Raw genomic sequence first — 26,211 nt, 5'->3', positions numbered from 1 at the left:
AACCGCAACCTTCCTGGAGGCCGGTGCCTGCTGGGAGTGGGGCCCCAGGGAGGAGAGTTCCTGTGGGAAGTGGGGGCTGGGAAGGTGGGGTGGGGCTGGGGCGCTGTGGAGCCAGAGTCAGTGCTGTGTGGGAGGGGTTTGTGCCTTCCTTGTGATGCCATGGGGCTCCTGCAGAGCTGTGACCCTCAATCTGCCCAACCCATGACCATAGCCATGGAGGTAGAGCTTTATGTGTGCCTTTATATAATCCTCATGGAACCCCTTCGAGATGGGTGCTATTCCCATTGCACAGATCAGGACCATGAGAGAAGTTACATGGTCAATAGCTGACAAGTGGCAAACCCACAATGTGAATCCAAGTTTTTCTACGCACTTTGTTCATCTGGAGATGCTTTGAGCCGAGGTGAACGGGTGAGTGATCTGGAAAGCCCCAGCTGGGAGGACTGCAGCTTGCGGTGCTTAGGGGAGTGAGCTGCAGGAGTTCCAGGTCAGCAGCCGTGCCAGGTGTTTGTTGCTGGGCCCTTAAGAGTAGCACACTCCCACTGTCCCTGCCGTCGTCCAGGCACCTGCTTCAGCTTTACACGCACACCCCTTTCCCACAGGCTCAGATTTGCTCAATTTGGTTTGTACCTGAGGTCTCATGTTTCTGGGTGGTCCAAGAGAAGTTAGAGAAAGCTCTCACTTCTAGAATGTCAGAGATGGAAAAGTGGGGGCAGAATATAATTATCACTTTCATATGCATACTTATATAATTCATAATAATGGTTTCAAAGCATTTTTTATAACCATCATTTCTTTTGATTTTTATAGCCCTGGGCTTATGTAGAGAGATGATACTCAGTTGGGCAAACATTTATTGATGCCTCCTATATGCAGGACAGTGCTAGGCGCTACAGTGGTACAGAGATGAGGAATTAAATAGCATTGTCTCTGTACCCTGAGAGTTCTTAGGGTTCTTTTAAGTGAGAGACACATACATGTCTTTTTAGTTTCAGTGTAGAATCTTAATAAATGTGGGCCAGTTCTGGCTTGGGATCCAAATTAGTTTGTAAACCTTAGAGAATAGGGTCTGATAAGAGATGAGGCTGGGGAGGCCTGGTTTGGGCATCTCTGAATGCTATTTATGTTAAGATCTTGACCTCGCTGCATGAATAAGGGCACCCCATCTCATGCTTTTGAAATACATTAGCAGCTGAAAGAAATAGGTAAAACTGGAAATCACAGTGGTGGTCAGCAGTAACCAACACTGCGATCATCCGGGAGGAAGAGAGTGGAGGTAGGATTGCTTCCTTTTGATTGTTAAAGAATCTTGGAAGCTGGGCTCGGTGGCTCACTCCTGTAATCACAGCACTTTGGGAGGCCGAGGTGGGTGGATCACTTGAAGTCAGGAATTGAAGACCAGCCTAGGCAACATGGTGAAACCCCATCTCTACTAAAAATACAAAAATTAGCTGGGCGTGGTGGCGCGTGCCTGTAGTCCCAGCTACTCAGGAGGCTGAGGCAGGAGAATCGCTTGAACCCGGGAGGCGGAGGTTGCGGTGAGCCAAGATCCCAAGATTGTGCCACTGCACTCCAGGCTGGGTGACTGAGACTCTGTTTCAGAAAAGAAAAAAAAAAAAAAAAAAAAGAATCTTGGAAGCTGGGCACGGTGGATCAACGCCTGTAATCCTAGCACTTTGGGAGGCCGAGGTGGGTAGATCACTTGAAGTCAGGAATTTGAGACCAGCCTAGCCAACATGGTGAAACCCCATCTCTACTAAAAATAGAAAAGTTAGCCAGGTGTGGTGGCACACTCCGGTAGTCCCAGCTACTCAGGAGGCTGAGGCAGGAGAATCGCTTGAACCCGGGAGATGGAGAGAGAGAGAAACACCCTGGGGTTGTTTGTCCGTTAACTTTACGAATATCTTCTCCTGACTGGCTTGCAATATATTATCTTGTGAAAATAGGAATTTACAAGAGGGTGTATCCCTCTTAGGTTTATCCGTTTCTTGTGACCTTCCCCGTGCCGCCCGGAGGGCTGTAATCTAGTAAGTTTGATGACTTGCTGTGGTGCCTAGATAAGGGTTCAGGAATGCAGCTGCAGAGTATTCACGGTAAGGGTCAGCTGCATTGTGGCGGGGGGGTGGTCCTGGGGCAGCTCATCCCTAACAGTCAGGAGTTTGAGACCAGCCTGACCAACATGGCGAAAGCCCATCTCTGCTAATAATAGAAAAATTGGCTGGGCGTGATGGCTCATGCCTGTAATCCCAGCACTTTGGGAGGCCGAGGCAGGTGGATCACGAGGTAAGGAGATCGAGACCATCCTGGCTAACACGGTGAAACCCCGTCTCTACTAAAAAATACAAAAAGTTAGCCAGGTTTGGTGGCGGACGCCTGTAGTCCCAGATACTCGGGAGGCTGACGCAGGAGAATGGCATGAACCCGGGAGGTGGAGCTTGCAGTGAGCCGAGATCGTGCCACTGCACTCCAGCCTGGGTGACAGAGTGAGACTCCGTCTCAAAAAAATAAATAAATAATAAATAAATAAATAAATAAATAATAATAGAAAAATTATCTGGGCGTGGTGGCAGGCGCCTGTAGTCCCAGCTACTTGGGAGGCTGAGTCAGGAGTATCACTTGAACCCAGGAGGCGGAGGTTGCAGTGAGCTGAGATCACACTACCGCACTACAGCCTGGATGACAGAGTGAGACTCTATCTCAAAAATAAACAAACAGAATCTTGGCCTGGAAATGAAAAGTAACCTGCTTGGCTGCTTGGTAACAGTCTAGACTAGAATTTGGCTCCTGAATCAATTGTTCCGATTTTCAGTGGAACTTCAGGCTGGGCCTGTGCTGGCAGACTGGGGACTTGAAGAGAGTCAGATGGGCCTTCCATCAGGGGTGTTTGTATGGCCAGTGTGCAGTTTTCACTAGTCAGGTGAAAGACTGAAATGGGCAAATGGTGTGGAAGAGACTGAAGGCCCGTGTTACCTGGGTCAGTGAAGGCCTGCCCAGGCCACATCTGAAAGATCCCGTTTGCATGTCTGCACGCCCTGCCCTATCCCTCTGTGGACTGGAATGAAGGTGGCAGTGGGAATGGGAGAGCAGTTTCAATTGGGCCTTTCTTCAGTTGACCCCAGGGTATCTCAGTCTCCTGCCCTCATTGTGTTGGCTAGAGTTCTATGAATCTTGTTAGAGATGGTTTGATACCTGTTCCCAAGAGATTAGTATTGGCAGGGATGCCCAGTTTCCTGGTATGAATAGTTAAATCCAATTCATCCAGTCAGGATGGCACTGTAAATTTATACTCTAAACACATAGCAGTAATACATAAAAAGATAAAATTCTAAAAATATATTCATGTACGCCTCCACTTTTCTACCCCCCACCACACTCAACATGATAAATATCCCTGTGGATGAGAAATAGACAAGAACACAAGGAAGAAAGCCAGGCTGAAGCTGCAGGCCTGCTGGTCTCTGAGTCTGGAAGCAGAAATTTGGGATAACAGAGCCATAAAGTGTTCCATTTGGAGCATGGAATTGAGCTAGGAAATTGCTTGAATCCACAGCTGGACAGTAGCCTGAGAAAAGTTGTTACCATTTCCTGGGGCTAAAGCTTTTATTTATTTATTTATTTATTTATTTATTTATTTATTTATTATTTTCTTTTTTGAGATGGAGTTTCGCTTTTGTTGCCCAGGCTGGAGTGCAATGGCATGATCTCTACTCACTGCAACCTCCGCTTCCTGGGCTCAAGCAATTCTCCTGCCTCAGCCTCCGGAGTAGCTGGGATCACAGGCATGCGCAACCACGCCTGGCTAATTTTTTTTTTTTTTTTTTTTTTTTTTGTATTTTTGATAGAGACGGGTTTCTCCATGTTGGTCAGGCTGGTCTCGAACTCCTGACCTCAGGTGATCTGGCTGCTTCGGCCTCCCAAAGTGCTGGGATTATAGGCGCGAGCCACCGCGCCCGGCCAGCTTTTTATTTTTTATAGAGACAGAGTCTCACTCTGTTGCCCAGGCTGGTGTGCAGTGGCATGATCATGGCTCAATGCAGCCTTGACTTCCCTGGTTCAAATGATCCTGCCCCCTCAGCTTCCCGAGTAGCTAGGGCTGTAGGCACTTGCCACCATGCCCAGCTAACTTTTTTTTTTTTTTTGAGACAGAGTTTCACTCTTGTTGCCCAGGCTGGAGTGCAGTGGCCCGATCTTAGCTCACTGCAACCTCCGCCTTCCAGGTTCAAGTGAGTCTCCTGTCTCAGCCTCCCGAGTAGCTAGGATTACAGGCATCCGCCACCATGCCCGGCTTATTTTTTGTATTATTAGTAGATACGGGGTTTCACCATGTTGGCCAGGCTGGTCGTGAACTCCTGACCTCAGCTGATCCACCTGCCTCCGCCTCCCAAAGTACTGGGATTACAGGTGTGTGCCACCGTGCCCAGCCTCAAGCCAACCTTTCGCCTTAGCGTCTTGACTTTCTGGGACCACAGGCATGCGCTACCACGCTTAATTTTTTTATTTTTTATTATAGAGACGCGGTTTTGCCATGTTGCCTAAGCTGGTCTCGAACTCCTGAGCTCAAGTGATCCGCCTGCTTAGGCCTCCAAAAATGCTGGGATTACAGGTATGAGCCACCATGCCCAGCCTAGAAATAATATTTAAAGAGATAATGGCTTGAAATTTCAGATTCGAAAAAACAGCATGAACATCAAACAGGATAAATAATATGTCACTAGATATAATACAGCCAAACTGCAGATAATAATATAACTTTATTTTGCTTTTTGAGGCCAGGTTGGGCGGCAGTGGCGTAATCACGGTTCACTGTGGCCTTGACCTGCCAGGCTCAGGTGATCCTCCCACCTCAGCCTCCTGAGTAGCTGGGCCTACAGAAACATGCCACCACGCCCGGCTAATTTTTGTATTTTTTGTAGAGATAGGGTGTTGTCGTGTTGCCCAGGTTGGTCTCAAACTCCTGGGCTCAAGCAACCTGCCCACCGTGGTCTCCCAAAGTGCTGGGATTACAGGCATGAGCTGCCATACCTGACCAGACCAAGAGAGTTAAAAACTACTGGAGGTAAGAAAGAATTCAAAGAATTGACAATTAGATCACAAATAATATCTTATCAACATTGGATGCCAGAAAACAACAGAAGAATGTCTTAGAGAAGCTCCTTGTCAACCTGGAATTCCATAGCCAGCTATCATTCAAGAATGAGGTAAAATAAAGGTATTTTTGGACAGGCTAAGACAGTTTTATCACCTACAGACCTTTGCTGAAAGAATGGTTACAGATGTACTTCAGTAAGAAGAAAAGTAAACCCCTGAAGAAAGAGCAGGTTGTTGGTGCCAACAGTGAGCACAGAAGTGGATGCATTATGTTGGTAAATTGAATTAACTATTTTTTTTTTTTTTTGAGACGGAGTTTCGCTCTTGTTGCCCAGGCTGGAGTGCAATGGGGTGATCTCGGCTCACCGCAACCTCTGCCTCCCGGGTTCAAGCGATTCTCCCACCTCACCCTCCTGAGTAGCTGGGATTACAGACATCCGCCACCACACCCAGCTAATTTTGTATTTTCAGTAGAGACGGGGTTTCTCCATGTTGGTCAGGCTGCTCTCGAACTCCCAACCTCAGGTGATCCGCCTGCCTCAGCCTCCTGAAGTGCTGGGATTACAGGTGTGAGCCACCGTGCCTGGCCTGAATTAACTATTAACAATATATTAGGATGCAAGTAGCAGAGTAACCCACAATGACTTAAACTGGAAAACACTGGATTAGTTTATAACAAGAAGTGTGGAGGTCAGTAGTTCCAGGGTTGGGGCAGTAGGTCACATAGGAACATGAAGGACCCTCGATCTTTCTACTCTGCCATACGAGGGTGCAAGATGTCTCTCATGGTCGTGAGATGGCTGCCATAGCTCCAGACATTATATCATCACCCTGTAACATCCCAGGCAGGAAGGCACAGAGATCCTAGGAGAAAGGAAGCTTTTTCTTCATGTGCTGCTGCTGCTTTTTTTTTTTTTATTTTTTATTGCAATCACTGTCATCCAGGCTGGAAGGTGTGATCTCCGCTCCGCCCACTTCAACTTCCACCTCGTGGGTTCAAGTGATTCTTGTGCCTTAGCCTCCTGAGTAGCTGGAAATACAAGCACTTGACCCCACGCCCAGCTAATTTTTGTATTTTTAGTAGAGATGGGGTTTCACCATGTTGCCCAGGCTGGTCTCGAACTCCTGACCTCAGGTGATCTGCCTGCCTCAGTCTCCCAAAGCGCTGGGATTACAGTTGTGAGCCACTGCGCCCGGCTGCTTATTTGGAAAGGAAAATCTTTCCAAGATGGCCCTAACACATACTCCCTTGGGTCTCATTGACCTGAGCTGGTCCATCCTCAAACCAATTCCTGGTGAAAAAGGGACAGGCTTGCTGTGGTTGGCGCTGGTTGGCTTTGGCCAGTCTTGCATCATCTGCCAGGACTGGGTCCTTAGCTGCCCAAACAAATCAGGATTCTGTTGGCAAGCGAAAAAGAGAGTGGCCGCTGGTAGACAGCCAACAGTGTCTGCTACAGACGGCAAAACACAGAGACAAAAAAAAAAAAAAAAAACAGGATCTAAATGGGCTTTTAATTTTTTTTTTTAAGAGAAAACTAGAATTGTTGACCACATTACCAAGGAAGAATAAGAATAGAGAATTTTATTGTTAAGCCACACCAAATTTCTGCCTTGTTAAGAGAATGGCATTACTGAAAAACTGAAGACTTCATCAAGAAAATGTACATAAGCTAACAATATAAGATTAATCACTAAAAAAAAAGTAATATAATTTCCAGACCAGGAGGGGGAAAAAAAGTGGTGAGGGTTGGCCGGGCGTGTTGGCTCTCGCCTGTAATCCCAGCACTTTGGGAGGCCGACGCAGGCAGATCACGAGGTCAGGAGATCAAGACCATCCTGGCTAACATGGTGAAGCCCTGTCTCTACTAAAAATACAAAAAAAAATTAGCCGGGCATGGTGGTGGGCACCTGTGGTCCCAGCTACGGGGGAGGCTGAGGCAGGAGAATGGCATAAACCTGGGAGGCAGAGCTTGCAGTGAGCCGAGATCAAGCCACTGCACTCCAGCCTGGGTGACAGGGTGAGACTCCGTCTCAAAAAAAAAAAAAAAAAAAAAAAAAAAAGGTGAGGGTGGAGATAATATGTCAACCCAAGTCAGGAAAAGAAAAAAAATACAGAAAAAATAGTAGACAAAATACTGAATAAGATAGTAACATAACTCCAAGTGAAATGGATTAAACTCATCTATTTGAAAACAACAACAGCATCAGGTGAAATAAAAAGCAAAGAAGTCTGAGGACTGAGCAAGGTGGCTCATATCTGCAATCTCAGCTCTTTGGGAGGCCACGTTGGGAGGATCATTTGAGAACAGGAGTTGGAGATCAGCCTGGGCAACATAGCAAGACATCATCTCTACAACAACAAAAAAAACAACAAAAGTAGTGCACACCTGTAGTCCCAGCTACTTGGGAGGCTGAGGCAGGAGTCTGAGAGTTCAAGTCCAGCCTGGGGAACATAGCAAGACCCTGTCTTTATGAAAAAAAAAAAAAAAAAAAAAATTTAGCCAGGTCTGGTGGCGTATGCCTATGGTCCTAGCTACTCGGGGGCCTGAGGTAGGATCATTTGAGCCCAGGTGGTCGAGTCTACAGTCAACTGTGATTGCGCCACCGGCATTCCAGTCTGGGCAGCAGAGTGAGATCCTGTCTCAAAAAGGGGGAAAAAGCCTGGGCGCAGTGGCTGACACCTGTAATCCCAACACTTTGGGAGGCGGAGGTGGGCGGAACACCTGAGGCTGGGAGTTCGAGACCAGCCTGGCCAACACGGTTAAACCCCATCTCGACTAAAAATACAAAATTAGCCAGGCATGGTGGCGCATGCCTGTAATCCCAGCTACTCAGGAGACCGAGGCAGGAAAATTGCTTGAACCTGGGAAGTGGAGGTTGCGGTGAGCCAAGATCACGCCATTGTACTCCAGTCTGGGCAATAAGAGCAAAACTCCGTCTCAAAAAAAAAAAGCCGCCAGAGGCGGGAAGCTAGCTAGAATGTGGAGAGACCTGGTCTTCCCCACACAGGTGGTTTGAACTTTTTTCATAAAATAGAGATGAGGTCTCACTCTGTTGCCCAGGCTCCAACCCCTGGACTGAAGCGATCATCCAGCCTCAGTCTCCCAAAGTGCTGGGATTATAGGTGTGAGCCACCACAACCAGCCGAGAACTGTTTTTCTAGACGTTACTTCATGCCTTAGTGTAGATAGGTACAGCAAGATACTGGATTTCCCCCTGCCCACTCCGACTCAAAACACAGTGGGGCTCCCTCCTGAGGTAGCAGGTGGTGGATCTGAAGGGACCCTTCACCCCAACTCCCCTGCCGCACCCTCTCCCCGTGCCTCAGGGCCCAGCTTCCTCCTCTTAGAGGCCGTTTCTTTATTTTTTCTTTCTTTTTTTTTTTTTTTTTTTTTTTTTTTTTTTTTTTTTGTTTCTTTGAGCTGTCTCCTACAGGAAGAGGCTGTTAGGGTGCAGCCTCGATCTTTGTCCAGAGAAGACTGACAGTTTATTTCTCTAGGACTTCATTGAAAGCCAAAGTTATGCTCTTGGTTTGAAGAAGTGTGTTAGCTCTTGCCTTCTGGGTTTCTGGCTACAAACTCTGGGCGGCATCAAGAGGTACCAGAGCTGAGATTTCAGATGGATATAAAGTCAAAGTTGGATGTCCTGCAGGAAGGGAGGGGCTGCCCGAGGGTTTGGTGCTGCGGAGTGGAAAGGGCCTGAGTCCCTAGGGTAGCACTGAGGGGTCTGTGCCAGAGGCTGATACCAGGGTGTTGCAGTGCGGGTGACTTCAGTTAACCAAGCAGGGTGGTGAAGCGGCCCATTCTCAGACAGGTCAAGGACAGGCCTCGCTGCTTTTGAGTTGTTGGGGAGGGAGGGGCTTTCGGTAACTGGCCACCTGCGCCCACCCCCACCCCTCCGCCCCAGCTCCTTCTGCCTGGTTTGGGTGCTGCCCCCCACCCAGGAGGCAGGGAGTGTTCTGGGTTGCTAGGCTGGCAGGGATCTGGGGCACAGCGAATGTTTTGATGGTTGTACCCCAGTTAGTGGAAGAGTGCTTTGGGAAGGCAGTGGGGGCTGTGGAAGGAGCTCTGGGCTTGAAGTCATCAGACCTGGCATGGCGTTAAAGCATCTTCACTTCCGCCTGGCTGACCTTGTTCAGCTGGTCCTGGGACTCCTGCGCATACTAAATGAGAGGCTATCCCCCGAAAATGCTCAGAGGTTCATAAAGCATCGGTCCATTGGAGCAGTAGGCTGTGGCTTCATGCCTTTAGAATGAGCTTTGGGACACGTCCTCAGGCTGTGTGTAAGTGGGTGGAGAGGGGCTTTATCTTTCGTCTTTCTCCTCTCCCTCCCAGAGGCAAGCAGCACCCATCCCCCCAGGCTCCGTGCCTTATTTTGACGTTTCTTTTCTCTGCATGCCAAGAAGGTTGTATTCAGCTGTGCTGGTCTGAGGTGGTGCTTATCCTGTGCTTCATTAGGTTAAGTCGTTGATGGCTGTCTCCTGGGATCTGACCGAGAATTGGCTCTAAAGCTGCTACAGCCTCCAAAACAGTCCCTGCTGTTCTCGTTTTGGGGCACTCTTTGCTTTGCTCCTCAATCAGGTGCTTTTGTTTTTTCCTTCCATTTACCTGCGTGCTGGTGAGGGTCTCCTTTGAGGTTCCTTGTACTGGGAGGTGGAAGTAGCCCTTCGGCTGCATCTCCTGAGGATGGAAGGCGGGGTCTTCAAGGCCCTTGCTGCCCCTGACCTCTGGATCCTGGCTGCCAGTTCCTCTGGACAGCCTCAGCAACTTGGACATGGACCAGCCATTCAGGGGACATTTATTGATAAATGGTCTCCCCAAATTTGCCAAATTTGTGACCACAAACTTCTTAGAAGACTGTAGTATTGGCACAGTGGCTCACACCTGTAATTCCAGCACCTGGGGAGGCCGAGGCAGGCGGATCACTTGAGGTCAGGAGTTTGAGACCAGCCTAGCCAACATGGCGAAACCTCATCTCTGTTGAAAATACAAAAATTAGCTGGGCGTGGTGGCACGGGCCTATAGTGCCAGCTGCTTGGGAGGCTGGGGCAGGAGAATTGCTTGAACCCAGGAGGTGGAGGTTGCAGTGAGCCAATATTGCGCCACTGCACTCCAGCCTGGGCAACCGAGTGAGACTCCATAAAAAAAAAAAAAAAGGCCATAGTGTTGTCTTGCCACCTCCTAAATTTCCCTAGTTACTCCCTTTCTCTTTTAGAAGACTATTTCACATCTGGTCTCTCTGTAAATCTCCAACCCCAACAATAAAGGGACACTCCTCACTGTCTGTGCCGCTTGCTCGGCTTTGCCACCTGTCCCACAGGTAGCCCCCCTCCAGGACGACACTCGATGCCATCATCTCGTGCTGCTCCCGGCCTTTGTTCCTCTGTTCACTTCTTTTTCCTGGATCATAAATTTCCCCTCTAATAATTCATTCCCATCAGTGTACACACATTCTAGACCATCTCTCAGCTGAATCCCATTCCACATTCCACTCTCTTACATCCCATTCCTTTTTTTTTTTTGAGACAGAGTCTCACTCTGTCACCCAGGCTGGAGTGCGGTGGCACGATCTTGGCTCACCGCAACCTCCACCTCCCAGGTTCAAGCGAGTCTCCTGCCTCAGCCTCCGAAGTAGCGGGATTACAGGCGCATGCCACCACACCCAGCTAATTTTTGTATTTTTAGTAGAGATGGGGTTTTGCCATGTTGGCCAAGCTGGTCTCAAACTCCTAACCTCAGGAGATCCGCCACCCTCGGCATCCCAAAGTGCTGGGATCACAGCTGTGAGCCACTGTGCCTGGCCCCCCACTCCAGCCCAGGCTGGAGTGCAGTGGCATAATCTCGGCTCATTGCAACCTCCACCTCCTGGGTTCAAGCATTTCTCCTGCCTCAGCCTCCCTAGTAGCTGGGACTACAGGTGCCTCTGCCACCACCCCCCGGCTAATTTTTGTTATTTTTAGTAGAGATGGGGTTTCACCATGTTGGCCCTGCCACCACCCACAGCTAAGTTTTGTTATTTTTAGTAGAGATGGGGTTTCACCATGTTGGCCAGGCCGATCTTGAACTCCTGACCCCAGGTGATCTGCCCACCTCGGCCTGCCAGAGTGCTGGGATTACAGGGGTGAGCCACCACGCCCAGCACCATTCTCTCTTTTTGTTGTAACACCTTTATTGAGCTATAATTCACACACCATGCAGTTCATCTCTTTGAAACATACAAGTCAGTGGCTTTTTTTTTTTTTGAGACGGAGTCCTGCTCTGTTGCCCAGGCCGGAGTGCAGTGGCATGATCTCGGCTCACTGCAAGCTCTGCCTCCCGGGTTCACGCCATTCTCCTGCCTCAGCCTCCTGAGTAGCTGGGACCACAGGCGCCCGCCACCATGCCTGGCTAATTTTTTTGTGTTTTTAGTAGAGACGGGGTTTCACCATGTTAGCCAGGATGGTCTTGATCTCCTGACCTCGTGATCCACCTGCCTCGGCCTCCCAAAGTGCTGGGATTACAGGCGTGAGCCACCGCGCCTGGCTGTCAGTGGCTTTTAACCTATTCACCACAAACAATTTTGGAACATCACCCCAGAAGAAAACTCCAACCCACTGGCAGTCATTCCCCATTCTTCTCTATCCTCCAGCCCCTGGCAACTGGTAATCTACTGTCTGTCTCTATGGATTTGCCTATTCTGTACATTTTACATAAATCATCTGGCATGGGGCCTTTTGTGCCTTATTCCTTTTTTTCCTTTTTTTTTTTTTTTTTTTTTTTTTTAAGACGGAGTCTCACTGTGTCACCCAGGCTGGAGTGCAGTGGCGCAATCTCGGCTCACTGCAAGCTCCGCCTCCCGGGTTCATGCCATTCTCCTGCCTCAGCCTTCCGAGTATCTGGTACTACAGGCTCCCGCCACCATGCCCGGCTAATTTTTTGTGTTTTTAGTAGAGATGGGGTTTCACCATGTTAACCAGGATGGTCTCGATCTCCTGACCTCGTGATCCGTCTGCCTCGGCCTCCCAAAGTGCTGGGATTACAGGCGTGAGCCACCGCACCAGGCTGTGCCTGGCTCCTTTCACTTAGCACAGGGTTTTCAAGTTCATCCATGCTGTAGCAGTGCCAGAACTTGATTCCTTTTTATATCTGAATAATACTCCCTTGTATGGATATACCACATTTTGTTTATTTATGTATTGGTTGATGGAACTTTGAGTTGTTTCCATGTTGGCACTCTTATGAATAATGCTGCTATAAATCATTTGTGTATGAGGTGTTTTTTTTTTTTTTTTGAGATGGAGTCTCACTCTGTCGCCAGGCTGGAGTGCAGTGGTGCGATCTCGGCTCACTGCAACCTCTGCCTCCCAAGTTCAAGCGATTCTCCTGCCTCAGCCTCCTGAGTAGCTGGGACTACAGGCGCACGCCAGCCATGCCCAGCTAATTTTTGTATTTTTAACAGAGATGGGGTTTCACCAAGTTGGCCAGATGGTCTTGATCTCTTGACCTCGTGATCTGCCCATCTTGGCCTCCCAAAGTGCTGGGATTACAGGTGTGAGCCACCGTGCCCGGCCATGTGTACAAGTTTTTATGTGAACCTAAGTTTTCATTTCTCTTGAGTATATACCTAGAAGTGGAATTGCTGAGTCATATATTATGGTGACTGTATATTTAATCTTTTGAGGAACTGCCAGACTGTTGCCCAAAGCGACTGCACCATTTCACATTCCCAATAGCAAAGTCTGAGGGTTCCAATGTCTCTGCGTCCTCACTAACACTGGTTATTATCTGTCTTGTTGGTTACAGCCACCCTGATGGGCAGGAAGTGGTATCTGATTGTGGTTTTGATTTGCATTTCCCTGATGATTAATGACGTTGAGCATCTTTTCCTGTGCTTGAGCCTCGCAATACCCCTGGATCAGTCATTGTGAAGGTCACCACTGCCCTCCATCCAGTGGTCAGTTCTCAGTCCTCGCCTTACTTTTTCAAACACTTGACACTGTTAATTCCTCCTTCATTCTCGAAACTTTCTTCTCTTGGCTTCCCAGATGCAGGGCTGTTTTTCCCCCTGCCTCATTGGCTGTTTCTTTCCTGGCTTCTCTTTCAGACAGCAGAGTACCCCAGGCTTTGTCCTGAGCCGCCTACTCTTGTCTGTGGTAGACCCTCCCTAGATCTTTTCTTCTGGTCCTGTAGTTTTAAGAATGAACTGTACTCTGATGACTCTCAGATATATCCCTCTAACTCTGACCTCACCCATGAGCTTCAAACAGGTGTGTTCAACTGCCTGTTTCCAACTGCATGTGGATGTCTAAAAAACTTTCTTTTTTTTTTCGAGTTGTGGTATCACTCTGTCACCCATCCTGGAGTGCCATGGCATGATCACGGCTCACTGCAACCTTGAACTCCTGGGCTCAAGTGATCCTTATGCCTAAGCCTCCTGAGTAGGTAGGACTGACTACAGGCACCTGCCACCATGCCCAGCTAATGTTTTTACTTTTTTGTTTGTTTGTTTGCTTGAGACAGTGTCTCACTCTGTCACCAGGCTGGAGTGCTGTGGTGCAATCTCAGCTCACACAACCTCTGACTCCCTGGTTCAAGCAATTCTCCTGCCTCAGCCTCCCGAGTAGCTGGGATTACAGGCACCCACCACCACGCCCAGCTAATATTTTGTATTTTTAGTAGAGATGGGGTTTCGCCATGTTGGCCAGGAAGGTCTCAATCTCCCGACCTCATGATCCGCCCGCCTCGGCCTCCCAAAGTGTTGGGATTACAGGCATGAGCCTTCATGCCCAACGTTTTTACTTTTTTGTGGAGATGGGGTCTTGCTGTGTTGCCCAGGCTGGTCTCAAACTCCTGACCTCAAGTGATCCTCCCGCCTTGGCCTCCCAAAATGTTGGGATTACAGACATGAGCCACCACAGCTGGCCTAAAAGACATCTTAAATTTAACCAGAACTTTTGTTTTTTCTCAGCCAAACCCATTAATTTTCTGTCTTTTCTGTATAGTGAATGACAGCCCCATCCACAAGGTTGCTCAGGCCACAGCCTCCATATCTCCCTGATTCCTGTCTTCCTCTTCCCACCCTGCTCCCCTCTTCCCTTCCCCATGGGCCCCCTCCTTGTACCCTCCAACTACCCTACTAGTTAAGCCCTTCAGAGTACATCCAGCCATTTCTCACCACCTCCACCACCTGGGATATTGCAACAGTTCCTTTCTGGTCTCCCTGCTAGTCTTACGCAACAGCCAGAGTAGTGCTTTAATAAAACATGTTTTAACCTAAAAGCATTTTAGATTTTACTACGAAATGCATCATAGACTCAAAGTAGTATATATCGTATTTGTGCTCTTTACAGAATAAACATAAGAAATACTCCATGGCTAGGCGCAGTGGCTCATGCCTGTAATCCCAGCACTTTGGGAGGCTGAGGCGGGTGGATCACCTGAGGTCAGGAGTTAAAGACCAGCCTGGCCAACATGGTGAAACCCCATCTCTACTAAAAATACAAAAAATTAGCTGGGTGTGGTGGCACATGCCTGTAATCCCAGCTACTCAGGAGGCTGAGACAGGAGAATCGTTTGAACCCAGGAGGCGGAGGCTGCAGTGAGCCAAGATCACGCCACTGCACTCCAGCCTGGTGACAGAGCAAGACTCCGTCTCAAAAGAAAAAAAAATACTTCTGTACCCACCACCTGGATTACAAGGTACCCAGTACTCCTGAAGCCTCTTCAGCCCTCCTTATTTCATCTACCTCTCTTCCCCCTCCAGAGGAATTCCCTGAATTTTGTGTTGTTTCCTTGATTTTCTCTATTATTATCTTTATAGAGAGGCATAGAAAATGTCTTGCTTAGCTTTGCGTATTTTTTAGCTTTTCATGGATTCATGCTGTGATCATTTATCCATGACTACTCTTTTTGCTCGATATAATGTTTTTTGGCCATATTCATCCCTGTTAATGTCTGAAACCGGAGTTCATTCATTTTACTATATGGTACAAAATGCACCACAATTTATCCATTCTTTTTTTTTTTTTTTTTTTTTTTTTGAGAAATAGTTTCGCTCTTGTTGCCCAGGCTAGAGTGCATTGGCACGATCTCCCACTCCTGGGTTCAAGCGATTCTCCTGCCTCAGCCTCCCAAGTAGGTGGGATTACAGGCATGTGCCACCATGCCCGGCTAATTTTGTATTTTTAGTAGAGATGGGGTTTCTTCACGTTGGTCAGGCTGGTCTCGAACTCCCAACCTCAGGTGATCCACCCGCCTCGGCCTCCGAAAGTGCTGGGATTACAGGTGTAAGCCACCATGCCTGGTCTTTTTTTTTTTTTTTTTTTTTTTGAGGCAGAGTTTTGCTCTTGTCGCCCAGGCTGGAGTACAATGGCGTGATCTTGGCGCACTGCAACCTCCGCCTCCTGGGTTCAAGTGATTCTCCTGCCTAAGCCTCCTGCATAGCTGGAATTATAGGTGGCCACCACAACGCCTGGCTGATTTTTTGTATTTTTAGTAGAGATGGGGTTTCACCATGTTGGCCAGGCTGGTCTTGAAATCCTGACCTCAGGTGATACACCCACCTCAGGCTCCCAAAGTGGTGGGATTATAGGCATGAGCCATTGGGCCTGCCTCCTCCGAGCTCTTTATATTGAGGTGTGCATGGGCTTAACAAAATGATCTGAGTAGCTGTGAAGGGGAGCAAGCCCATGACGTGGTGGGCAGCTGAGGGGCACAGGTAGAAATGAACTGTGAGAGGGTCATTGCCAGGTCATTTTTGGGATTTTTAGTGCATGTTTGGGGGCCTTTGATTTTTTTTTTAGCTCCTCCCCATGGCTCCATTTGCCCTCACCACAACAAGCTGAGCATCCTGTATTTGCAGTAACACCTGGACCTGGGGTTCCCAAAGCAAGGGCCTTTGCCAGATGCTCTACTTCTCTGCTCTTTCCTCTACTTCTCTGCTCTTTCCAGACATGTCAAAACCAGGGATTTTCCCCTCCCTAACAGGCAGTGCAGTTCCTTCGCGTGCCCCCTGCGTTGATCTAGAATCCCAAGGAGTTAATGACTTCCCTGATTGAGTTGCTTCCTTTGGAAGCCTCCTGTGCCAGCTCTGCCCAGCCCCCGCCTTCAGTGGCCACTGCGGGGCTGCCCAGCCAGAAACCAGGTCTCCCCAGGCAGGACCTCTCGCTCCCATCAGCTGCAAAGTCACTGTCTTCCAGGGCCACCTGCCTCATGACTGGCTCTCCTCAGGTCACAGGAAGCTGGGAGCGGGACCCTGAAAGAACTCGAGTTCTGTCCTTAGATGTTGGGCATGCAGCAGGCAAAGGGAGAATGAGAGGAGACAAGGACCTGGCTTCCCATCTACAGACTGTTCAGCCAAGGCCATGCCTAGAGTGGGATCTGCTAAATGGGCACAGCAGAACATTGGAAGAAGCACCTTTGAGCCAGTGCTGCTGGGGTCTCCGTGGATTAGAGCCAGGAGCCCTGATGAGGCCTGTGGGCGGGGCTTCACTTTCGACCCTGAGAAGCCAACTCCACATCTCCTTCCCTCTCACCCTTGAGCCGTGGGTAGTTCAGGGAGGCCACAGCCTTCTTTCTGTGCCATGGCCTATCCCAAAGTCACCTCCACTCACAACGTCGTGACCTTAGGTAAGTTCTTGTACTTTTGTGAACATCATTTCTCACCCAGAATAATGTCCTTACTGCAATATGCTCGTTCCATTCCCTGCTGGCTTTGTGGCCACAAATGGAGGGGCAGCTACGTTTCTTGAACACAGAGCCTGAGAGGCCTTGTATGCAGCTGCTGGAAGCAGCCAGGAGACCCCAAAAGTGGGCTGGAGACTTCAACAAGGACAGGGAACAGGGCTGCACTGAGAGGCCCAGGGGCTAGGTCAGCAGCACCGCTAGGCAGATTTGGAGGGGAGCTGGGGAGAGGCGAGGCAGCCAGCTTTGCAAGATTCCCACGGCACACAGCCAGTGCTCAGGGGTTCCCTTCTCAGCGTTCCTCTCACCTGGTGTGGCTCCCTCACGCTTGGCATGGATCTGAGCTCCTTTCCTTATGGCTGAGACCCAAACTGCCTACAAGTGGCCTTTTCTCCCTGTTCTTGCCTGCAAGGGCAGCATGGGGCCTCAGGCTGTCAGTGCTACCAGGGACGCTGGCATTCACTTTGTCCATAATGTACAGATGGATGTAGACAACTGCCCTCAGGGCTGTCCGGGGGCAGGACCAAGCCCAGCAACCACACCTCCTGACACAGCCAGGTTCTCCCCCAACGGCGGAGCTGACAGGACTGTTCATGGTTCATTGAGTGGACCCAGCAATACCTCATCGATAATCCACAGTCGAGAGAAGAGGGGCGGTCAGAGACCGGCCAGCCCTCCCTTCTGATTGGGAGAGGCCTCTGCAGGCACTGACAGGCTCCAGAGAGTGCTGTGGGGGGCAGTCAGTGTCCATAGTCCCCTGGAATCTTCTCTGGGCTGTTTTCTCTGACTTTTCACCTGAAATTAACTGTACATAGCTGGGCTAGGAACTCTCTAAATCTGAAAGCATGTGGCTTAGGGAAAATCACTTGACTCGTTTACCTTCTGGCTAAGAAGTGAAGACTCTGGGCTAATCTAGTCCTCCAGGCCCTGGAGTCCCACACAGTGATGCTATCTGTGCAGCTAGAGGGCAGAGCCCTTGGTCATGTCCACCCTCTGATTAAGTGGGCATCTCCTCTCCTGCTAGCTTTGGGGCTTGGGGTGGGGCTGGGACAAAGCCTGGTGCCCGTGTGATTCATCCGCACATTATTTCTCCTCTCTGCCATTCTAGGGTCGTGCTGCGGCAGCCTGGCGCCCGACATGTGAAGGGGAACCTGCCAGGGGATTACTGTGAGCTCACAGCAGGATAGGCTGGCCCCGGGGGAGTGGGGATGGGCAGAACCTGGGCCAGGAGTATTAGGAAGGAGACCTGGACCCTGGTAGGGAGCTCAGCACAAGCTCGCCTGACCCAGATGGTATTGGACACAGTGCCCCGCTGAACAGCAGCTGTTCCCAGCGCCAGAGGACCCCACAGCCACAGTAGGAGCTTTGCGACCCCTACGCAACTGCAGCTGGGGCTGGGGCCACCAGGAGAAGGGACCAGCACCTCAGATGGGAAGCAGAAGGGCAAGACCTACTGCGGAAAGGATCTCGATCTCTGCAGCGGAGTTTTCCCACACTCACAGAGCTTCCTGTTTTTGTCCTCTCAGGGTTGGGGTCTGGCTCCCCTCCTCTGGCAGAGGTTTTGGGCCAGGAGGTGGGACAACACTTGCATGGAACCCAAGTCCCCTGAAGCCCCTGTGCTCTCTGTTGTGATTGGAGTTCTAGGGCTTCCCCGCTGCCGGGAACGAGGGGCCGCCTCATTGTCTGCTCATGAACCACAAGGACCCCGACTGCTCCAGACTGGATTATTTCAAGCCGCCAAAGAGGGGGACCCCTAGAGCTGGCAGCCAGCAATCCCAAGGGACTAGAGGGCTGCAATGGACTGACCTCCCCCTCACCAGGGTGGCAGGAGAGGCAGAGCCTCTGTGGCCTAGCTAGTGACGGAGAGACCCGATGAAGCCCTAAGCAGGGGCCCCGCCTGACTCAGGGACAGGACAGCCACTCCTGCCAACGTGTGTTCTCCCTACATGAGGGAGGGCGTGGCAAGGGACCCCTGCCACTGTCCCCTGCTGCAGCACGTGCCCCTATGCCCTTTGCATGTGGTGCCAGAATAGGCAGGCTACGCCGTGGCTGGCCCCTCAGCGGGCTGGGAAAAGAGTGGCCACGGTGACCGTCACCCGCCTGCCGGCACCATGAAGTGCTCCCTGCGGGTGTGGTTCCTCTCCGTGGCCTTCCTGCTGGTGTTCATCATGTCCCTGCTCTTCACCTACTCGCACCACAGCATGGCCACGCTCCCCTACCTGGACTCAGGGGCCCTGGATGGGACGCACCGGGTGAAGCTGGTGCCCGGCTATGCCGGCCTGCAGCGCCTCAGCAAGGAGAGGCTCTCGGGCAAGAGCTGTGCCTGTCGCCGCTGCATGGGCGATGCCGGTGCCTCCGACTGGTTTGACAGCCACTTTGACGGTAACATTTCCCCCGTCTGGACCCGAGAGAACATGGATCTTCCACCGGACGTCCAGAGGTGGTGGATGGTAAGAGCTGCTGCTCCCTTCCAGGGATCTGTCCCCCAGTTTTAGAGCCACTCAGAGCCCCCTCTTGGATTTCTGGCCCCCAGAGCCTTGACAAAATGCCTGTTTGACCAAGCCATTTATAGGATCACAGATTACTGAAGGGCAGAGCAAGCACTGACCTGATGGAGGGGGCTAGTATTTTCTAGTGCCTGTAGGACCCGAGCATAGGCCAGAAATGCCTCCTGGACCAGGCAGGCAGCAGGGACACAGGGAGCAGGTGGCAGTGAGGAGTACAGCCATGGGGGGCCTGCCCCAGAGGAAGGAGGCAGCCGCCCCTCGGCCCCAGCAGTTGTTGCTGCACAAGGCTGGATCTGGGTTTTTTGTTTTTTTTTTAAGAAAACCTAGAAATCCAGATTTTAAAACTAAATATCCTAATTTATGAACATTGGCTCAAAATAATTGTTTTTTATTTGTTTGTTTGTTTTTTGAGATGGAGTCTCATTCTGTCGCCCAGGCTGGAGTGCAGTGGCACAGTGATGGCTCACTGTAACTTCTGCCTCCCAGGTTCAAGTGATTCTCCTGCCTCAGCCTCCCAAGTAGCTGGAATTATAGGCATGCACCACCCCTCTCAGCTAATTTTTTTGTATTTTTAGTACAGACGGGGTTTCACCATGTTGGCCAGGCTGATCTCAAACTCCTGACCTCAGATGATCTGCCCGCCTCAGCTTCCCAAAGTGCTGGGATTACAGGCGTGAGCCACCATGCCCAGCCAAAATAATTGTAAATACCATGAGAACAGAGCCCCTTTCTTGGTTCTTTACAACTGCTAGAAGACTTTTTACTGGGCTGGGATAAGAAAGCCTTGTAGGGAAGGCCGGTCATGGTGGCTCACGCCTGTAATCTCAGCACTTTGAGAGCACAGGGCGGACGGATCATGAGGTCAGGAGTTCGAGACCAGCCTGACCAACGTGGTGAAACCCCGTCTCTACTAAAAATGAAAAAAAATTAGCCAGGCATGGTGGTGCGTGCCTGTAATCCCAGCTACTCAGGAGGCTGAGGCAGGAGAATCGCTTGAACCTGGGAGGCGGAGGTTGCAGTGAGCCGAGATTGCACCATTGCACTCCAGCTGGGCAACAAAGTGAGACTCCGTCTCAAAAAAAAAAAAAAAAGAAAGAAAAGAAAGCCGTGCAGGGACTACTTAATCTATTTTATGAAATAATGTGTTGTCTGATTCTAGAGTTAAAAAAAAACAAGCAATGAAAAGAACCCTCAGGGGCTAAGGGAGGTGAAGGGGTGGGGCTGGGGGGGTCCTCCCTGTCTTTCCAGTCATCACTTTTCTGCTACTTTTAATTCCTTCTACCTTGCCCCAAGGCTCTGGAGTGTCACTCCCCAGGCTCTGCAGGCCATCTGGTTGCCACACATGTCATGGGTGGAGCCATGTCAGCACTGAGTCCCTGCAGGCTCCCAAGCTGCAAGGGATGAGCTCATGTGATCAGGCTTATCAGAATGATGTCACAGAACCTGCCTTCCAGCCTAGACTGTCAAGAGTGCCCGAGGACCAGGGTCTGCAGAGCTGGGGCCACTAGGAGCCCCGTGGGCTCTTACTGTGACAGCTTTTTTTTGATACAGGTTCTCACTGTCTTTGCAGTGGCACAGTCTTGGCTCACTGCATCCTTGATCCCCAAGGCTCGAGCGATCCTCCCACCTCAGCTTCAGAGTAGCTGGGACTACAGGCACGTGCCACCACGCCTGGCTAATTTTTATATAGGAATTCTCATCTTGGAGCCAAGCTCCCTCTACAGATCAATCTCCCATCCCCTGAGCAGGCCCTGCTCACCCACAAACCCATCAAGTTATGGCTCCATCCACATAATGTTTTATTTTATTTTTATGTGGGTTTTTTTTTTTTTTTTTGAGTAAAAATAATTCCAGCACTTTGAGTAAAAGTAATTTACTTTTGAGTAAAAGTAATCCCACCACCTTGGGAGGCCAAGGCGGTAGATCACCTGAGGTTGGGAGTTCGAGACCAGCCTGACCAACATGAAGAAACCCCATATCTACTAAAAATACAAAATTAGTAGGGTATGGTGAAGCATGCCTGTAATTGCAGCTACTCGGGAGGCTGAGGCAGGAGAATCCCTTGAACCCGGGAGGCGGAGGTTGCGGTGAGCCAAGATCGCGCCATTGCACTCCAGCCTGGGCGACAAGAGTGAAACTCTATCTCAAAAAAAAAAAAAAAAGAGTATTTCATTTTTCTTGTTTCATATGAAATCCTTATTTTCAGTGTGTCTTGAAAAATGGGAAACTTTGGCCCTTCTGGGCTCATGATCCCACGTGGCAGCAATTGGCTGAAGTTGCCTCTCTTTGCCGGGGCTCAGATCTGTTGGCTGTGGACCTTACCTGCCATGTCACTCCTGTGTGGCACTTGCTGGGCCTGTAAGCATCTGGTTGGTGCTGCCTCGTTTCATGGTCTTTGACCATTAGTTGGTTGGTACAGGTCTCGCTGGTAGGAGGGGACACCAGTTTTATTCCAGCCATTCTGGCTCTGAAAGAATTTATCAGCCTCTCTGCCCTTCCCTGGGGCTCAGGGAGTGGCTGGACTGTCACCCTGGACGTGGCTTCTGCAACCCCAGTCCTCAGCCTGAGTGCCAGGGGCGCCCCCTGTAGGCTGACCAGGAAGGATCCCCTGAAGGAGGCTGCTCTGCTCCGTGGCCCAGGCCTGCAGGTTCCCAGAGAATGTGTGAAAGGCACCTTGATCCCTGAGCCCCTTCTAGTGCATCAGAGCTAACTGTGACTAGCAGGGCACCCAATCTCTGGACATTGAGACTCACTCACAACCGGGGACTTTGCTGTTGTTGAGAGAGGGAGAGACCCTCACTGCCCAGAGGAAAGAACCCCTGTTCCCTGGCAGAGCCCTGGATAAAGAGGCCTGTGCCCAGACACAGGATAGTGAGGGCAGAGGAGGGGAGGCCGGGGCCCCTCCTTCTTCACACACCTCTCCCCTTCCTCGTTTCCCATCTTCCCCTCCCTTCCACAGATGCTGCAGCCCCAGTTCAAGTCACACAACACCAATGAGGTGCTGGAGAAGCTGTTCCAGATAGTGCCTGGCGAGAACCCCTACCGCTTCCGGGACCCCCACCAGTGCCGGCGCTGTGCCGTGGTGGGGAACTCGGGCAACCTGCGGGGCTCTGGCTATGGGCAGGACGTGGACGGGCACAACTTCATCATGAGGTGAGCCCCTGTGGAGCCCAAGGGTGGGCTCAGGATGGGCCTCCGGGAAGGGGACTGCCCTCCTCTGCCTTGTCTGGCAGGGTGCATGCTGCCAGCTACCGGTGTGCTGTGGGGCCCTGCCTCCCAGAGTCTTTCACAGCAGGCTTGGAGCTCTCTCCTTTACCTGTTTGGGGTGGATGGGGAGACAGAATCCCAAATCTAAGCTTTGCTTGAGGCCTGCACTCTGTTTCCAAGGCTCTGAATTCCTCTGGAAAGAGCTGACATTAGATTCCTGGCTGATTGTTTGGTGAAAAATCCCATCAGAGGCAGGGCATGGTGGTTCACACCTGTAATTCCAGCGCTTTGAGAGGCTGAGGTGGGAGGATCGCTTGAGCCCAGGAGTTAGAGACCAGCCTAGGTAACATGGCGAAACCCTGTGTCTACAAAAAATTTTTAAAGATTAGCTGGGCATTGTGGCGTGTCTGTATTTCCAGCTACTGGGGTGGCTGAGGCAGGAGGATTGCTTGAACCCAGGAGTTTGAGGCTACAGTGAGCTATGATTGCACCAGTTCACTCCAGCCTGGGCAATAGACTGAGACCCTGTCTCAAAAACAAAAATTCCCATCAGAAGCCGGCCCTGTCCTCCTCATCCCCTCAGCAGCTGGGCAAGGAGTGAGGGCCCCAAGCCCAGCTAGCATCCTGCTTCATAGCAGCAGGTGATTCTCGCTGGCAGATGCATAGAAGGCAGATGTTGTGGGTGCTGAAAGGAGCTGTTCGGTATTTGCTCTAGGGCTCATTCATTCCCAAGACCTCTATGCCCAGCCGTGAGGAAGGGAGAAGAGTTGGGAGGGCGTTCAGTCTTGACCGAGACTCTGCAATGAAGGCCTGGGCGTGAACAGGGAATAGGGGGCAGGCTCACGACCTGAACGTGGGCTGCTTGCTCTGCTCCAGAGCCTGCGTTTTCTGACATCCCCCCTTGACTTGGCTGGGGACAAGAAATGCCTCCTACCCGACTCCTTGGTAGAGGAAGAGCCTGAAGAACAGAGCTCCTGCCAATGCCCAGTTTTCACGCATCTCTTAGGATGAGCATTGCAGTTAAGACCAGGTTTCCCAGGAGGCAGAAGGAAGGGCTTTGTCTTAGAAACTGTTGCTGTCTCCATAGCAACACGAAGGCAGCAATATGTCTCGGAGGCATTCAGCATTCCATGTAAGACCTTCCTCATGTTGGGAAATGGTGCAAGTGGGAGGGTGAGCAGGTTGGAGTGGACCCTGTCCAGGACCCCGGAGCCACCTGAGGGTATCCATATCCTCCAACTGCTGATACCCCAATGGGAGGGAGATGGGATGGGAGCTGGTCTTAGAGGGGCCTCTCCCCTCCCCAGACACCATGGCCAGGTTGGGAATTGAGGCATCTGTCACTTCCATGCAGCTCTGCGCACTCGGGAAGCCCAGGACAATGCTCTTAGGTGCCCAAAGCACCTGCATCAAGTTTGAGCTTTCACTGGTCAGGCACCTCAGTGATGGTCAGGAAGCTCCTGGGTGGAAGCCCTGCAGGTCCAAAAGGACTGCCTCTAAGTCATCTGGCCGGTACTGTCAGGTGGGGCTGCAGAAAGAAATTTATAAGGCTGCACATGCTGTGGCTCATGCCTGTAATCCCAGCACTTTAGGAGGCTGAGGCAGGCAGATTACCTGAGGTCGGGAGTTCGAGACTAGCCTGGACAACATTGTGAAACCCTGTCTCTACTAAAAATACAAAAATTAGCTGGGCGTGGTGGTGGGTAACTATAATCCCAGCTACTCGGGAGGCTGAGGTTGCCTGAACCCAGGAGGCGGAGGTTGCAGTGAGCCAAGATCATGCCATTGCACTTCAGCCTGGGCAACAAGAGAGAAACTCTGTCTCAAAAAAAAAAAAAAAATTTATAGATGCTTCCTCACAGGGGCCAGGTAAGGAAGGGGGGTGGTATAGAGTGGACCCCAGAATCACTTTCTGGAAGGGGTGACCTGGGTAGTAATTGGCCGTCTGCTGGTCTGAGGAACTGGATGGCAGTGGATAAGCTGGGCTTGTTGGTGTGAGCCTGTAGTCCTAGCTAATTGGGAGGCTAAGGCAGGAGGATCGTTTGAGCCCAAGAGTTTGAGGCTGTGGTGAGCTATGATGGCACCACTGCACTCCAGCCTGGGCAACAGAGCAAGACCCTATCTCAAAAACAAAAACAACAGATGGCACTGGGGGTGACTCCAATTGTAGACATATCCAAGTTTGGAACCAATGGCCCTGGAAGCAAGACCCACTGGAGGGCTGAGCTGAGTTACAGCGAGATGATGGCCTGATCCACCTGTGCCCCACCCACCTCGCTGCCACTCACTCCTCCTATTTGTCCTCTGAGCCCTGTGGACCACTTCAAGTCCAGTTGAGCTGGTCTTGCCTCAGTTGGCCAGCAGATCCATCCACAACTCCAAGAACAGTGCCCGCTAGACAGTAGGCACGCCGCAGATACATGCAGGAGTGAAGGGGACTAGGCAGCCAACATCAGGTCCTAACCAGGGGGCACACACCCCACTTGCGCCCCTGTCCCTGAATACTTCTTTAGCTGCTGGAGGCAGCCAAGGACAGATAGATTTCTAGAATGCTGTGTTCCCGAGTGCCAGAGATGCAGCTCATCCTCCTCGTCCTGCTCTGGCCCCTTTCCAGGGCGTGGCTTCTCCAGGATGAATCAGAGCCTTGAAACAAAACCTTGTCCCTGTTAGAGTGCCATGTTCCTTCCCTTTCCCTTGGAGGCTGTGAAACATATTTTGGGACCTCTTGCTCCCTTCATTCCCAGATGTTTGGAAGCTGGTATCTGGCCAACCATGGGGAAATGAGGGAGGGCCAGGCTCTGCAGCATGGCCAGCCACAGGCGCTGGAGGCAGGGTGACCCTGGCTGACAGGTCCCATGGGGACTTCATGACAGCTCAGGCTGCCAAGTCAGTGCAGAAGACAGATGGTGGGTCTTCAGAAACCAGCCTGGGCTGGCTGCAGCCCTGTGCTCTGCAGGATCTCTTGGCCTCACCATCTCTGGTGAGATGAAGTTTGTTTCTTAGGTCAAGTGTACACCTTGGCTGGGCGCAGTGGCTCACGCCTGTAATCCCACTACATTGGGAGGCTGAGGCGAGAGAACTGATTGAGCCCAGGAGCTCGAAACCAGCTTGGGCAACATGGCAAAACCCCATCTCTATTTAAAAAAGGAGAAGAAAAAGAGCATACCTTGATCCTAGCTCCTGCCCCGCCCAGGCCCCGGCCAGCCTGTGTCACCAGCCCAATTCCTCTACCCCCTGCCTACCCCTGCCATACCCTGGGCAGCTGAGACACACTTCTGGCTCTGACATCCCCTGTTAAGGCTTCCTCTCCAACTGATCTGTTCCTCACAGGCCCCAGGGTGCTTGGCAGGAGGCAGATACAGACTGTGTCAGTGTGACCATAGGACACCAATACCTGCATGGGGAGTTTAGCAGCCCACAAGCTATTAAGAGTTATTCAGGGGTGGGAAGGATACTTCTTGGCTCTTCTAGGAGACAGGATCTCTAAACCCTAAAGACCGGGCTCAAAGGGGCAGTTCACTGAAGGACATGAATTTGGGAGAGGGAGGCTGGAAGTAGATCCCTGTTCTGGAGACAGAGCATGTTAGTTTCTCTGGAGGAAATTCTGGGCATCTGCTTGAAGCCAGCTAGAACGGAAGTGGTTAGGAACACAGAGGTTCTCTAGGTTTTGAGACCTCCCACCCCAAAGCACCCTCCAGACCCTCAAGGGAAGGGAAAATGAGAGGTAGGGGGCACAGTGATCCTGGACA

General features: G+C 50.9%; 1 protein-coding gene across 1 annotated transcript in view, besides 2 other annotated features; it reads left to right on the top strand.

Moving 5' to 3' along the window:
- Positions 1–26,211, top strand: part of ST3GAL2 (ST3 beta-galactoside alpha-2,3-sialyltransferase 2) — a 63,124-nt gene that overhangs the window by 21,711 nt on the left and 15,202 nt on the right. The window contains exons 2-3 of the mRNA NM_006927.4: positions 17,857–19,198; positions 22,215–22,408. Coding sequence (NP_008858.1) covers positions 18,860–19,198; positions 22,215–22,408 — 533 coding nt within the window. The 5' untranslated portion in view covers positions 17,857–18,859. The remainder of the gene's footprint in view (positions 1–17,856; positions 19,199–22,214; positions 22,409–26,211) is intronic.
- Positions 231–420: an enhancer, noted in NCBI's record as "active region_11057". NCBI's record gives its function as "activates an Ori minimal core promoter by ATAC-STARR-seq in GM12878 lymphoblastoid cells {active_cell/tissue: GM12878}" and the evidence as "EXISTENCE:reporter gene assay evidence [ECO:0000049][PMID:35858748]".
- Positions 12,559–12,728: an enhancer, noted in NCBI's record as "active region_11056". NCBI's record gives its function as "activates an Ori minimal core promoter by ATAC-STARR-seq in GM12878 lymphoblastoid cells {active_cell/tissue: GM12878}" and the evidence as "EXISTENCE:reporter gene assay evidence [ECO:0000049][PMID:35858748]".

Source organism: Homo sapiens, chromosome 16 (genome assembly GCF_000001405.40).
Source record: "Homo sapiens chromosome 16, GRCh38.p14 Primary Assembly".
Taxonomy (NCBI): domain Eukaryota; kingdom Metazoa; phylum Chordata; class Mammalia; order Primates; family Hominidae; genus Homo; species Homo sapiens.
Note: the sequence above shows the minus strand (reverse complement) of the source record. Positions and strands in the feature narration are given on the sequence as shown.